Source organism: Homo sapiens, chromosome 10, assembly GCF_000001405.40.
Source record: "Homo sapiens chromosome 10, GRCh38.p14 Primary Assembly".
NCBI classification, from domain to species: Eukaryota; Metazoa; Chordata; class Mammalia; order Primates; family Hominidae; genus Homo; species Homo sapiens.
The window spans coordinates 86,120,475-86,136,548 of record NC_000010.11 but is presented as its reverse complement, the minus strand read 5'-3'; the positions used below and the strand labels follow the sequence as shown (position 1 = coordinate 86,136,548).

The 16,074-nt window shown below is 50.3% G+C and overlaps 1 protein-coding gene across 1 annotated transcript in view, besides 1 other annotated feature; it reads left to right on the top strand.

The window, feature by feature from the left end:
- GRID1 (glutamate ionotropic receptor delta type subunit 1) overlaps positions 1-16,074 on the top strand; it is a 767,244-nt gene that overhangs the window by 230,247 nt on the left and 520,923 nt on the right. The gene's annotated exons all lie outside the window — the stretch shown is intronic.
- Positions 906-1,444: an enhancer, noted in NCBI's record as "H3K27ac-H3K4me1 hESC enhancer chr10:87894862-87895400 (GRCh37/hg19 assembly coordinates)". NCBI's record gives its function as "activates a minimal SCP1, AML or CMV promoter by ChIP-STARR-seq in primed H9 embryonic stem cells {active_cell/tissue: H9 hESC(primed)}" and the evidence as "EXISTENCE:reporter gene assay evidence [ECO:0000049][PMID:30033119]".

The window sequence follows — 16,074 nt, the reverse complement described above, 5'->3', positions numbered from 1 at the left end:
AGCTAAAGATGTTAAATGACTTACTTAAGGTCACACAAATAGCCACTTAGGCATTGAACAGGATTCAAGTCCGGATTTTACTCCCTCCAGAGCCCCTCTCTTCCATCTGTGATGATTCCAGGAATATCAGTGTACAGCACTGCACTTGCTGGAGTGGGGAAATAGGGCATGCTGGCTTCATCGGGGAAGATATGGTTCCACTGTCTCTGGCCAGGGTTTGGCAGAGGTTCTCAGGGTGCTTATACGCAAAGCATTTTAACGTATCTCCTAAGTGTGGTGGGGAAGAAATGTGGATTCTGGAGTAAACATGAGCTATCTGACTGGCTAGCCCAGTAGGTCCCCTAGGAACACCTGGGAATGCTGTCCCTGCACGAAGCCTTCCTCACCACCTGGAGGCATTGCATGGGCTTCTTGAGCAGACTGACCCAACCTCCTCTTTGTTGTGACAAGGACAAACGATGTTCACAAGGATGACACACTGCCAGAACATGTCCTGAATTTTATGAAGCCCAAAGCACAGTTAAGGAGGAGTAAATGTCTCCTCAGCACCCCCAACACATCAACTGCATGTCAATGTTATGCAGCATCCGGGATGGTACAGATGAGCTGGAGTTGGCATGGGCTATGGGGCTTTCCTAGTTGTAAGTTCTCCTCTTCCCTACTCAAAAAGCCTAGCCAAATGGGAGTGAGTGAGGAAGACGGAGCTGCTTGAATCTTTTACATTTTGCAAAATGGCATTCATTCACTGAAGGTGGCTGTTGGCCTGGGGGCACATGGCACCACCAGCCTCTCTGTGATTCCGCTTCACGAGGGGCTCTGCTGTCGGGGCCTGCAGGTTCTGTGAGCCTGGCCTTGGCAGTGAGTGGGTGAGTGGAAGAGTTGTGGCAGGCCAAGGTGCTGGGGCCTGCCTGGGGACCCTGTGGGCTTGTGTGTCAGGCCCCACCTAGAGACCCCTCACATCCCTCGCTCAGTCTTTATTCCACATTCATCCTCTGAGGCCTCCTCAGCACCATCTTAGTAGCCACCACAACACTGCATCATCTTAAAAAGGTGTGGAGAGGCTCCCCTCAGGGAGGATGGGGCTGAGGGTGATAGAACTCAGGTCTCCGGATCCCAGGCCTGGGGGCACCATGGGGCTGCTCTGGGGACTGCCAAGGGTACAGGCCATGGAATGTCCCTTCCTCCAGGGGGGCCTGTTCTGCCTTGAGCTTGACCTTGGAGCCCTCCATGTGAGTGTGGGTGGCTCTTTCCAATCATACCCTAACTGGGGAGTGGATTGGACTCATTGGATCCTAGTTGGGCCTTGGTTCTTCTCTGGGCTACAGGTTGCTAAGTGGGACTTCAGTGCACAGTGACAACTACCTATGATGTTCTCCTCATGCAAGCCCATCAGCTTCCTCACCAGCTGGGGATCATGGCCCATGCAATTGCTGAAGTGACCAAGGCAGCAGCTGCTGAGAGGGGCCTTGCTCTGGGAATCCTGCTGGTGGCTGCTGGAGCTTTCTCTCTTCTGCTCATGGCTCTTCCTGTCACTTCTCCAGCATTTACTGAGCCCCAGCCTGTGCCAAGTTCTATGTGGGCATGTAGGCTGTTGTCCCTGCTCTCACAGGGCTCCCAGCTTGGTGGGGAGGACTGAGGTATGAACAGACCCTTTTACCTGTAATGGCAGAGGTGTGGCCAAGTCTTGTAAGAGCACGGAAGACAGAGTGATGTCCTCTGGCCAGGGAGAGATGGGATCATCAGAAGGTCAACGGAAGCTTCCTGGACTAGGTGACTCTGGGTCTGGGTCTGTAGGAATGAACTTGCACTAACTCTGTGAACAAGGAAGGGCTGGAGAGAGGGGTCAGGGGATCCCTACTGTATTCAGGAACTTGTGTGTGATGCAGTTGCAGTCATGGGTGTGCAGGGGAGGGAGTGGCTGGAGCTGAGGCTGGGATGTCAGCAGGGAGGGCTCCCTAGCCTGGGGCAGGAAATCCAGACTTCAGGACTGATGTGTTCTTGGGGTCCTTTTCAGGGTATTAGAGGTTAACGCCCTACAGTTTACATGTCTTATTGTTGTTCTTCTCCAGGTCAGGCTTGATGGGGAGAACTCCAGTCCACAGTCATTTGGCCCTGGGCTTCATCTCAACTTCCTGGAGGGATTCTGTTCATCTATTCATCTGTCATCCACCTCTCTCTCCGTTCATCCATTCATCTGTCCATCTACTCATCCATCATCCAATCACTTACTCACCCAGCAAGTACCAATTGGGAGCCTCCTATGGATGAGGAACCCTATCAAATGCTGAGGGGCATGGAATTCAGAGGCAGTGCCTCCTCCTCTCCAAGACTGGCTATGATATGGAAAGTCGTGGCCACACACCATGCCACTGGTGGGCATTCCAGTGGCTGGCAGAGCAGCTGTGCCCCAGGGCTGTCATCCACTAAGGCCTCTCTCAGTGTCCATGGGCATTTTGAGGACTCCAGGGCTTTGTCCTTTCACCTCTTATTTATTGGTTCTATGCCACTGTCTCTACCGTACATAGGCCTCCCTCTTTCCTTTTGTTTCCTCTGTATTTCCTCCTCTCCCTTCTAGTCTTTTGTTCCACTGGAAAGAGTGGAAAAATTAAATGATTTTAAACTGTTTGTTTTCTTTATGGAGAAGAGTTGCTGCTCCTTCTTTCCAGTTCACAAGGAGGCGGGGCAGCCTGCCCAGCCCTGATGTCCAGGCACCATCCGTTTCTGTATGTCCTGCAGATGTTGGATAATCTGTCCCTGTAACTAGAACGTGCTGCCTGTAGGCCAGGGACTGTGTGATGTTCACCATTTTATTTCCTGAGAGCAGCATGGGACCTTGTCTACAGTAGTGTTGAAGGACTAAATGAATGGGAATTTAATATTTCTTACTTCCAATAGAAATGGGGTCAGCTGTTTTTGTGTGTGTGTACTTTGGTTGCCTGTTTGGCTGGTAAACAACTCCTAGGCCAGCACATCAGCAAGGGCTTTGGTCTGAAAACTTTGGCTAGTGGGAAGGCTTACATTTGCCTAAGAGTGCTGCCTTAGGCCTGGGTGGCTCAGCAAATGAGGCCAGGGCTGCTCCTGCAGGTGGGACGTTCCTGGGCCCAGCTGTGGCACATGGCAGTGGAGTGTGGGGTGCAGAGAGATCAGCGTGTGTGGTGGTGGTAAGCAGCAGTGGAGAAAGGTGTGGGAGACCAGGCATGCATTTGTGCACACACACACACACATGCACACATGGACACAGCTTGATGCAATGATACAACCAGCAGCCACATACACTGGTACAACCAGACCCTCAGACTGGCACAGCCCAACAGGCACTGACACACACACAAACACATGCACCTGTGCAGATCCACACATCAATATGCATACACATCCACCAGGAGGAGAGCATTGCTGGTGGCAGAACAGTCTGGGAGAGGTATTCTGTCTTTGGAAAAGAAATGGCAGCTACCCAGTGACAGTTGCAGCAGATGGCATTGACCTCTGCAGTTAGATACCAGTGATCTCTTTCTGTAGAGGGAAGAACAGGAGAAAGAACAGCAGAGAGAAAAGCTGGTTAGTTGGACAGCTTTCCGTTGCTCTGGTACAAGATGTCACTTTTCATCCAGGCTGGATGGAGTTAGGTTAAGGAAAAAGGTGGAAGGGGCCACTCCCAACACCTCTCCCAGATTGGCTTCCCAGGCATGGAGTGTGCCTGGAGGTCAATTTGATCCTTCATAGAAGCCCAGCCTGGGTTTAGTCCTGTCTTCAAATCAATTGCTTCTCAGAGTTTGCTGCAGTGAGTGAAGCTCCCGCAATTTGAATATAAAGACTGTGCTTTTTAATACATTTATAGCAAAGGTAAATTAGCAATCTCAACGTTCTGTTGTCCCACATGATATATGCAAATATTTCTCACTCTAACAAGGTAAATCTTTAGCAGACGACTTTATCACTCAGAGCTAGGATAATTCTGTGCCATTTAAGTATCATTTACCAGAATATTTTAAATTACTAATTAATTATAGGAGATTAATTTTTGAATATGGCCCTGCATTTGCATTTAATTATATCCCACTGTTTACAGATTTTAAAGCCTTAGCACTTTAGCAAAAGTGCTTCCAGTCTGAGAAATTTACATTTTCTCTTAGAAATTCTTAGAAATAAGGTCACAAGAAAGAAATGTTTCTAGATTTTGTTCAGATGGGCTTGGAACTCAGCGGCTTCAAGAGGCAGCCAGAACGCGGGGCCTGGCTGAGTTCAGGAAGGGAACAGAGAGCTGTCCTGTTAGGATCTGTGTTTGAGGCTCTACATGGCTCTGTCCCTTTCCTCCTCTGTCCCCACCATCCTGCTCATCTTTCCAAAGCCCCTGAGTGCTGGGGAAGCTGCTGTGAGCTCTGTCCCGGTGTCAGCCAGCACTGGTCTTGCAGGCCTCTGGCATCCTAGTCCACTGTCCCCTCTCCATGACAGCACTGTCACATCCCTCAGAGCCTGCTGCCTCCTGAACACACCTCCATTGCCACCTCATCCCAGAGCTAGCCCTGCACCCACTGCTTGTGCTGTGACCCTCTATTGCATCTCCCTCCTTGTGTGATCTGGGAATGCTAAGGGCAGGAACTGGGGCCTGTTAATCTTTCTTAATCACATTTTCAGGGGCCATGCATTATGGTTGGTAAACAGATGGAGGGTGGGACCCCAGGAGCACCGACTTCTGTCCCCACACAAACGTTGTCTAGAACTTCGATTGCCCACTGGGCAAATGAAACACATTCTTAACACTCCAGCCAAGCAGGAGTGCCCAAGTAAAACATTGTAAGAATTTAATGTTTGATTTTTGATATTTCAAAGGAGCATCTAAGCAATCATCAGGGAAAAAGGCCTGAGTGCCGCTGGACTTTCTGGTGTTTATTTTCTGGTTGGCTGTTGTTTCTATTTTGAGTTCCATCTCAAATCATGCCATCCCATTCTTGGTGCTCTGGGGTGCTGAAAGCCTTACAGAGACTGTCTGGGAGGCCTGTCTGGGGTCAAAGAGAACTGTGAACCTGAAGCATGGGCCTGAAGACACCTGGTGGCCTTTCCTTCCTTTGTGGGTCATTAAATAGCGGAGCAGAGTGTCAGCTCCTCCCTGCAGAGTATCTATGGCTTATTAGCAGGTAGCCCCTTTGGCCAAGGAGGCAGCAGACATGAGAAATAGGCATTTACAAAGGGAAACAGCCTGCAGCAGCCGAAATGGCTCAATTACCCTTTCTGCTCCCGGATCCCCAAGGGTGTTCAGCCTTGGGGGGGCCTCGCCTCTGAGCCTGAGGTGAGTCAGCCTGCTTGTTGACTGAAGAGCTGATTGGGGAGCTCAGCGGGGAAGCTGTAAGAAGACGTGGTGGGATGCAGGGGGAGGGGGCGGGTCATGAGAGGCAGAAATGAGAGAGATTATCTAAATTGGTATGAATTTATCTCAGAGAAGCTATCTGTGCCATGTAGTCCACATCTGGTGCCATTCTCTGCACATGGCATCCCTAAACAGAGCCCTCTCCTGGTGCCGGTGAGATAAGAGAGTTCCCTGACCCCACTCGCAGGACGTGTGATAGGGACGTGGCTCCTTTGTTTGGCTGCTTGCTCCTTACGGGATGGGGGGCACGCAGACGGGCAGGTGCAGGAACTGGGGTGAGCGCTTTTGGGCTCTGGCCCCACGGTAGCACTAGGGGTGGGTGCCTGTGACTCCCAAAGCCCCAGTGGGCATGTTACAGTGCTCTTTTAGCTCCTGCCATCTGCAGATGGCTTAAGCGTTAACCAGCTCAGCGCCCTCTTGGTACTCAGATCCTTGTCTGGCAACCAGGAAGAATCAGGTCACACAGACAAGTTAAAGGATGGTAAATGCAGGGGATTTTATTGCCAGATGGAAGTGGCTCTCAGTAGGATGGATGGGGAGCTGGAAAGGGGTTGGAGTGGGAAGACTATATTCCCCTGGAATTCTACCATCCTGCAGCTGATCTTCTCTCTGACTGTCTCCAACCGAACTCCTCTCGACATTCAGATGCTCCTTCTCTCCTCTCCTTCTCTACTGTGTCGCTCTTCTGTTCCTCTGCCCTTCTGCTTATGGAGCCTGGGATTTGGGGTTTATATGGGTACAGGCATGGCAGGCCAAAAGGCAACATTTGTGTGTGAAAACAGGAATGACTGTTCCCATTTAGGGCTGTGAGTTTCCAGGCTTGAGGGTGGAGCCTTTGCTGGGGAACTTCCCTCTTCTACCCAGTATTTCCTGGCCTCCTGTCTACATCACTGGTAGGAATCTGGCCTTGGTCACCTGCCATCTGTGCTTGAGCTGCCAGTCCCCTTGGAGAGAAGAAGGGCTCTGCATCAGCTAGCTGTGTGTCCTAAAACTCAGTGTCATGCAACAGTAAGCATGTGTTGTTACTCATGAACCTAGTGGTCAGCAGACCTGGGTTAGATTCACTGGATCTCAGCTGGGCTGGCTCATGCATCTGGGCTGGCTGGTGAGGATGGCACTGGCCAGCTGTAAGCTGGGGTGATGAGCCTGCCCCTTGACAAGCACACTAGCCCAGGCTTATTCATGTGGCAGCAGCGGAGTTCCAGGAGACCAAGTGTGAGTGCTCAGGGCTGCTTGAAGCCTGAGCTCAGACCTGGTGCATTGTGACTTCTACTGCAATCTCTTGTCCAGAGCAAGCCATGAAGTCAGCTCAACAGGCAGGGGAAAGAGACTCCTCCTCTAGATGGAAGACTGCTCTTGAGGGGGGAACTGGAAAGTCACATTGCCAAGGGAGTGGCTGCCTTGAAGGACAGAGAGTTGGGACCATTTTGTTGTCCATCTAGCATAGGCCCTAGTGTGCAGATGAGCTTCCTGGGTGGAAGCAGATGGTGGCAGTTCTGCAGGTGACCTGGGGCCATGTGCCTTCTCACTCTTACTTTGCTTCAACATTGTTCAACTTTGGGGTGAACATGGTAAAGAGGGGGATGTGGAGCAGAGGGAGGGATGAAGACAGGCTTTATTTATCAAGTTCACCATATTCAGACCCTGAAACTCACCGAATCTTCTCAACAATGCTGGAAGAGAAGGGCTAGGATGGAGCTTTGAGCCTGTGGGGATTTTGGGGTTTGCTCATGGTCTAAAAGATGAAAAATGACAGAGCTGGGCTATGAATGCTGAACACCCTGACTCAAAGCCCAGCTTTTTTCTACTATGTGCTGTTGGGAGAGGAGGCTTGTTGCCATTGACAGATCAAGGGAGAGCCCATTTTTCTCCTGGAGTGTGACACAGAGCAGACTAGGTGAACATTGCCACGGAGTAGCAGGTAGCATGAGGAGGGGGACTGGACACCTCTGAATGCTCATATGGAGATGGGGACAACCCCCAGTCCTCTCTCGGCCAACACATCTGCAGAGAGCCTGAGGGGATGGATTGGCTGCCTCTGTGTCTCCATGGTCAACTAGAAGAGCAGTTTCTACAACCTCCCAGGCACCCGAGAGTCTGAGGACATTTTATATAGGCTTTCTGTCTACAGGGCAGGGAAGGGCAGAGTCCAGGCAGACCCAGCCCCTTTCTTGCCCCGCTTTCTCACCATGTGGCTTTCTGAGCTCTGGTTCCTCATCTGCTCAATGGAGTCAATACTTGATTCACAACGTTCTTCTAAGTACAGGGTATTTTGGGGTGTAGGCTTTCCTTTTTCCTTTCTCACAGTGCTTGACATGGGTATGGGTACCCAGAACATGCCCAGTGACTGATGTGTGAGTGGGGAGATCGATGAGTCTCAGAAAATGTAAAGATATGGGCATGAAGGGCGTTGAGAAAAGTGAAAAAATCTTCTGTGACCCTGGGCAAGGTCAACATTCTGAAGTTTGGGATGTGCTAGTGCTTGACATCAGGGATTGGGCTGGTGACCTGCTGCTAGGTCGGTGGACCTAGGAGAGAAGTGGCAAGGTTGGTGGGCCGTTACCAGGCGTGTGTATGCTTCACCTCCCTGTTGCCTGCTGTGCAGGGCGTGGTATGGCCTCTCCCTCTCCCCAGTGCATTACTCACATATCTGCACTATCACCAAAGTATGCTGTGAGCAGTGTCAGGGGGAAAGCAATGTACAGGGTTGTGGTCCACAGTTCGAGTCATGGAGCCTGGGGGAAAGGAGCTGCTGTAGGAGACAAGTGTGAAGGTAGGGGAGAAAAGAACTGGAGGGAGGTAGATCATCACAGGAAAAGCACACATGAATTCCCCCAACCCCATCCAAGAAGCCCTGGGTACATGGGCACAGGGAGGGCAGATGGAGGGTTTCCTACCCCAGGGAGATGCAGGACTTGAACCACTTCGATTTAAATAAGAAAAGGCAGGGCAGAGCACCCAAGGATGTCCCTCTCCTCCCACACCCATTCTGCCCATTCTCCTCTCACAGAGGAAACCTGAGGCTTTCAGATGCTCAGCTGGGGCCACGATGATGCTTTTCTTTCCAGGGCTGGGGCTGCTGGTGGCACAGAGGAAGGGGCATTGTCCTTGGAGCAAATGGACACAGAATCAGAGCCCAACTCTTCTATCAGTGCCATCTTTTTGAGGCTATTTACTGGTCATAAGCTGGAGTATTAACACCTTCCCAGAGGGTTGCCATGGGAATTAAATGAGGGAATGCTCTTGAGAGGGCCTGGTGCAGGGGTGGTGCTCTGCAAATCGTAGTTTCATTATTGTGCCTGTGGATGGTGTTTGGCTGAGATTGTAGAACCAATCTGGGGCTGTTGGGGTCAAACATTGGGAGGTATCAGTGGCTCAGAGATGGGGAGCTGTGGCCAGCCTGGCAGAAGGATAGCTCCTACTCACTCTGTGTCAGGAAGCATAGCTCACAGAGCCAAGTGAGGAAAGCCAGATGTGGGGTGCACCTCGGGTGGTAAGGAGGGGCTAGGAAAAAGTGACAAAGTGCTCACGATCTCCAGCCAGCCCAGCTGGGGTTGAGAACCAGCTTGTGGTCCAGCACTCAGCTGGAGAGGATGTTAGAGTCCAAGAGAGAGCGGGAGAAGAGGAGGGCTAAGTGCTGCCTGGGCTCCAGATGCTGGCTAGGCACTTTCGGATCTTTTTCAGGAGCAGGGTGAGAGTTCACAGGGCACCTCCCATCTGGGCTGTTATTGGAGCACATGAGCAGGAGCAGCTACTAGTGGCTTCTCAGGAGTGCTAGTTACTGGGCTGATAGAAGGAGGGACAGCCGCGGGTGCTTTCTGCCTGCAGAGTTACTCTTCAGATGAGAAGGCATCTCTCAGCAGCCTGTCGGTGGCCAGTACGCCACTAAGATAGAATGGGCTCCATCCCTGGACCTCTTACACTGGGTGCTTTGGGGGAGAAAGACATGGTCTCTGCCCCTGAAGCACCGCCAGACTACACTAGAGAGAGAAAACATACACTCAGGAAGAACAGCGACTACTCAGTTGGAGACTGCCCTGTGCCTAGCGAAGCAGGGTGGGAAGGGGGCCGCATAGCTGCCCCTTCTCTCTGCCCTATAATGATCAAATGGGACCATCCCATCCAGGCTACCACATGAACTACTCTTGGATAATTCTGTAACTTGGAGCTTGTTAAGACAATCAAAGGGTCAGAGAAGAATGGCTAAAGCCACCCTTTGGCGTGACAGCCAGGTCATAAATCCAAATGCCTATGGCATCCAGGCAGGGATATTAAGGCAGACAGCAGGTGGGCTGTAAGAACTGAGAGTATTGCAGCTGCAGGCACCTGGGGGAAACATCCTTCTCTGAAGAGGACTGTCAGGCTCTGCCAAGATTCCCCTGAGAAGGCCTGGTGTGGTCACTATTTCTTGTGTCTCAAGAGGAGCCAGAAATTTGGACTTCCTGTGAAATCTCTTAGTTTTTAAATGTTTGTAGCTAATTACAAAAATTCTGAACTCTTTGTTGGCCAACTCTGCCTGTGGCAGGGCTGATAAGGCTTGCAGGCTGCCAAGTGGTAATGTCTGATTTATTGCATATATACTGTCAACTTAAGCTCATTAACTATGAGAATAGTGTGAAGCGAGCCCTGTTCTCCTTTCCCAGTTCTTTCTTGCTGAGGATAGGCAGTCATTCTTAGCACAGTGGTCCTAGGAGTTCCTATTTCTTTTCTTTTTCTTTTTTTTGTTTTTGAGACGGAGTCTCACTCTGTCGCCCAGGCTGGAGTGCAGAGGCACGATCTCAGCTCGCTGCAACCTCTGCCCCTCCAGGTTTAAGCAATTCTCTGCCTCAGCCTCTGGAGTAGCTGGGATTACAGGCGCGTGCCACCACGCCTGGCTAATTTTTTGTATTTTTAGTAGAGACGGGGTTTCGCTATCTTGGCCAGGCTGATCTTGAACTGCCGACCTCATGATCCACCCGCCTTGGCCTCCCAAAGTGCTGGGATTACAGGCGTGAGCCACCACGCCCGGCCGAGTTCCTGTTTCTTTCCTTGGCTCCTCAAGGTACCACCCCTGTTTTCTGTGATTCCAACATCCTTCTTACTTTTGTTGGTGGGTGTGACCTGCCTTAGGGGTCTCCCTCATGCAGTTGACCCTTGAACAATGTGGAGATTAGGGGAACCAACCCCCCATGCAGTCAAAAATCTGTGTATAACTTTTGACTCCCCCAAAACTTAACTCCTAAAGCTTACTGTTGGCCAGAAGCCTTACCGATAACATAAACATTTGATCAACACAAATTTTGTATGTTATAGGTATTATATACTATATTCTTACGGTAAAGTAGAGAAAATGGAATTAAGAAAATCATAGGAAGAGAAAATATATTTACTACTCATTAAGTGGAAGCGGCTCATCATAGAGGTCTTCGTCCTTGTTATCTTCATGTTGAGTAGGCTGAGGAAGAGGCGGAAGGGTTGGTCTTGCTGTCTCATGGGTGGCCGAGGCGGGAGAGATGGAGGAGGGATAAGGGGAGGAAGGAGAGGCAGTCACATTCAGTGAAACATTGATTGAAAAAAATCCACAGGTAAGTGGAGCCTCACAGTTCCAATCTGTGTTGTTCAAGAGTCAACTGTAGTTGCCAGAAGCTCATGTTCTTTTTATCCACCATTGCTCAAATTCTACTCTAAATGTGAACTGAGCTCTTTAACCATTACAGGCACTTTTGGTCTTTCCTGTGTGAAGGCCAGCTCTTTAGATGGGTGGTGATCATTGGTATTGGTTTGCTCTACCTAGCAGTACTCCACAAGGCTGCTGCTGGTTGTTAACTATCCTGGGACTGGCAGCTTTCAGTTCGTGGGTCTTATAGCTTTTTCCTTTCTGCATTTGGGGCACACTGACTCTGCCGGTTCACTCTCTGTGCTGAGGTGGGGAGGGTTTCGGCCTGCCTGACCGTTAGCATGAGAAGTAGCTTCCTATTTAGGGCCTGAGTGGCAAAGCCTTGCCCATTGGCAGTCACGTGGAAGCCATGGTGCTTTTATGTTCGACTGCCAGATTGTCTTCCTCCAGTCCTTGCTGTGGGTGCAGCACGTCCAGGGAGCCTGTCCATGCCAGTGCTCAGGCATTACTGCATTGGGCTGTGGCCTCAATTTTCATGTTTTTCTAAAACCATGTCTCACTTGCAGGGAGGGACCAACCTCATCTTATGATTGCTCCCTGAAGTTCACTGAAAGGGCTATGCAGAGTAGATGCTCAGCAAGTCACTGGCTGTATCAGCCAGGCCCGGAGGGAACTGCCCAGTTCCCCATATCACACCCAGGGGCTCTCCAGAGCCTGGGACTAAGGTTTCCATAAGCTCCCGCCCTGGCTCTGTCCAGTTCCCTGTATGACTATAGGGCACTGTCTTGCCTTTCTGGGTTTCATTTGTCTGTCTTGAAATGGATTCGATATTAATTGGGCAGTGAATATGGACTAGGCTCTGTTCTAGACCCTGAGAATATAAAGGGACTGAGACAAACAAGGTCCTTGTCTTCAAGAGCTGACATCTTAGTGGAGGTGGTGGTCAGACACTAAACAAATAAATGAGTAAACCAAAAGTCATGTGGGTAGTGACAACCCCCATGAAGAAAAATACAGTAAGGTAAGAAGAGAGTGGTTTCGTGGGGGCACCACTGTAGAGCAGTGGTTAGGGACAATGATGCCAAGAAGTAGGCGTTTATTGAGAGACTGGAAGGATGTGATGGAGCCCCCAAAACAAGATCTGCTGCAGAGAGATTGTGGCATCTGGAATGTCATGTGGTCCTGAGGCTGGAATGAGCTCAGCACATTGGAGCATCACTGAGGAGGAGGATGTACCTGGTGCCAGGTGAGCCAGGGGGAGAGTGGTGGCAGGTGACATTGGGGAGGTGTCCAAGATCAAAGCACTGGGGGCTTTCAGGCCTTTGTCAGATTTTGGGTTTGGTTTCAGTTGAATAGGAAGTCACTGGAGGTTTGTGAGCAGGTGAGCAGCATGATCTGGAAAGGGACCAGGGTTAAGGTGTTGTCTCTGCCACTCTCTGACTCCATGGGAAGCAGCTCAGGGACACAGAAATCCTAAGGGAATTGTACTCTATAGTTGTCAGCTGACAGGGAGCCTGGGAGCTGAGAATGGCTACCCTGGGGAGGTGCTCCCTCTGTTTCCCTGCTTGCCTGGGCCACGAGGCCTGGATGGGTAGCTCCCTGCCTGGCAGCCTCATTCTGGGCTCCCTGCACTCAGGCCGCCTGCATGGGCCCTTGGTGTGGGAAGCCACGCTGGCTCCTGCTTTGTGCCTCACAGAGCAAGTTCGCAGGGGTGAGCTCAGCCTCATGGCAGCCACCGTGGCAGCTTCCTGTGAGGAGCAAGCAATCAGCCTAAAGAGCTTTGCACATTATTAATGTGTGTGCACATGGGCCTGCCTTGCTGCTCCAAGGACTCTCCTTGTGGAAGGGCTGAGAGAGGACGTGCCCCTTTTCAGTGCATCTTTCCTCTTTCTTTCAGCAGGGAATTCGGAGAAGCAGCAAAAGCAACAGCAATAACAAACCCCAACCACACAAACCTTCCGCTCATCACCTAATGAGAATCAGGCAGGGCTGCTACCAAGCCCAGTGCAGGGCCTCGCCTCCCCAGGGCTGCGATTTGTTTGCCCTTGTGCCAATAGGTAAACAAATCAGGGATGCCAGTGTGTGGACATGTGTGGGTGTGGGGGTGGGTGCAGAGTTTGCATGTGTTCCACCTTTGTCTGCCTGTTTCCACACTGGCCTTTGAAACTGTGTGATGCCCCTACCTCCACCATAAAGGACTCACTGACATTGTGGGAGATAGTGATATGGGACATCCCACACCACATCCCATTCTTTGTTGCTCCCAACTGCTTCCCCTCCACTCTCAGCATCACCGGTAGGTTCCAGGCTATGGCCCTCTGCCCTCTGTTCCCTAGGTTTGGATTGTAGCTTTGCCTTTAGGACAAGGTGGTCTTGAGTAGGTCCCCCTTCTCCTCCTGTGACCCAGTAGACTCCAATCCTCCCCACCGTTCATTCCAGATCCCCCGGGGCACTGGCAGTGTTGGGGCGGAGTAGTCAGGCCTGGCATTGCACGGAACCAAAATCATGACATGACTTGATTCAAAACTCAAGCAGTTGCCTGGTTCATCCTCAAAGCTGGGCACCTTTCAGAGCCTTTGCAATGATGCTTGGGTCCCTTGGTTCTGCTGCCATGGCTCTGAAGTCCTGTGTCCCTGGACTCTGGACTTGAGCACTGCCCAGGCCTGCACGGCAGGGCACTAAGCTGCAGAAAGTGGGGCCCAACAGTTCCAACTGGGCTCCCCCCTTGTCTCCACCCCTCCCTCATGTGTGCTCACACGTCAGGGGTGGCCCTCAGGGTCAGTCCCATCAGAGGTAGCAGCTGTGGTCCAGGCATACTGGGAGACTTCAGAGGCCAGTTAAAAGGTGAGGAAAAAATAAATTTATCTGTGAAATGGGGAACACTATTTGCACATTTAATTCAGTGACCAATTTAAAAAATCATGACTGTTTCTTTCTATGAGGGGCAGTGTCCTTTCAAATCTGGCTACTTTTAGCTTCCAAAGGAAGATAGGTAAAGGGAAGTTGTATAAGTTATCCAGGCACCCAGTGGAGCTCCAGTGCCAGGGAGAGGCTGAGCAGGAATTCCAGCTCCAGGGCTGCTCATTCCTCTTCCAGCTGTTGGGTATTTCTTCCTACGCATAAGGGGCCATGCCCAGGATGGCCGTCAGCCCCTGGAAATGCAAAGCAAGCACATCCCTGGCTCATTAATTGCTCTAAGTGAATGTGCAGGGAATGATCCTGCTTCTCCGACAGGGTCAGACAGAGGGACCTTGTCCCTGGCTCAGCATGTGGTACCTGTCCTCAGGGTAGGGAGCGGGGAACAGTTGGGGCCAGCAGAAAGAGCAGGGTTTTGGGAGTTACTCAGCTCTGCTTACTCTCTGAACCTGTGTCTACTGGTAAAATAAAGAAGCTAGTGCCTGCTTACTCCCAAGGCTGTGGTAAAGTTTAAAGGACGTAATGTGTGGGGAAGTGCCTGGCTTGGAGTAGGTTAGTAAATGACTGCATTTGTCTCCCTTCTATGGCACAGGTTGCCCTTAGGTCTGTCACTCTGTCCACAGCCAGGCTGTTGTCACTGCTCCCATTTCTCAGATACAGAGACTGAGGCCCTGCAGGGTTGTATTTGGGGCCCGGGGGTATCCAGTGGAACGTTTCTAAAGCAATCAAGGTAAGGAGCAGGCTTGAGGGGAGAGATGTCAGAGCAGGTAAGAGCATATCTAGCCTTTGGAGTTGTTTGTTTGGTGTTAGAATCCAAGCACTGCCCTTATGGCTGGTGGCTGTGGGCAAGTTATAAAACTTCTCCAAACCTTTGTTTTCTTATATCTAAAGTAGGGATAGTGGCAGGACTACATCATAAGATGTGATGAGAGTTTAACAAGACAGTCATTTGAAGTGTTTAGGATAGTTCCTTGTACATTCTAAGTGCTCAGTAAATGTCCCTGGTATTATTGTGGTCATGGTGATAATGACGATTTTGATGGTGATGATGCTGTTGATGGTGATAATGATGGTGAGATGATGGTGATGGTGGTGATGTTGATGGTGATAATGATGGTGAGATAATGGTGATGGTGATGATGGTGATGATGGTAGTGATGATGATGGTGATGGTGATGATGGTGATGATGGTAGTGATGATGATGGTGATGGTGATGATGATGATTATGTTAATGATGATGATAATGGTGATAATGATGGTGTTGATGATGGCGATGGAGATAAATGATGGTGAGATGGTGGTGTTGGTGGTGATGATGGTGGTGGTAGTGATGGTGATGATGGTGATGTGGTGATGATGGTGATGGTGGTGATGATTTTTTGTTAAGGTGCAGAATGAAATTGCAACTTTAGGGACAGAGCCAAAGCACAGCTTGAGAGGTGGCTGGAGGAGAAGATGTGGTAGACAGGTGGAGGCCCAGGAGGAGACTTCCTGGTCCACAGCAGCTCAGCTTCCCCTCCCTGACTTACGATGTTGTCTGCACCTTGTCATAACTCCTGAGTCTCCCTTGCTCCTTGTGGTTGCTCTTACTTCATGTTGTGGAGGGAAATGGAGGGCATAAGGGGATATGCAACTTGAGGATCTCCCAAGAGACTTGAACAGATCCTTCCAGAAACTCACAGGGCCAAGTGTGGTGGTCTGCACTAGGACATGTGAGAGACAGGCTGTGGCAGAGCCAGGTATGTTGGGAGCCCAGCCTCAAGCCAGGGAGGAGGCATTCTACTTGGAGGTTGGTGGCAGCCGGCAAACCAGATGTCCCACTTGGCATCACTCCCCCCACGACAAAGGCACTTCTCATCAAAAACTGGTATTTCTAATCCTTGCAATCACAGTCAGAAAATAGTTACATAGAAGGTGATATTTAATATTTATGTCCAAACTGACAATACCTTGACATTAATTATTCTGTTATAATTAAATCTAGTAATCCATTACATTGCCATATAATGGATGTGGTTATATAGGACTCTAGTGAGGATAATGGAATTCTGAAGAGCAGAATTTGTAATTTAAAACCCAGGAACAAAAGCCCTGGATTGTGGGCCATGATTTTTCATGCCACCCTTTTTTTCCAAAGTCATTTACTCATCATTAAATAAACATTTATTGAAGGTTGGCAATAGAGAGACATAGGTG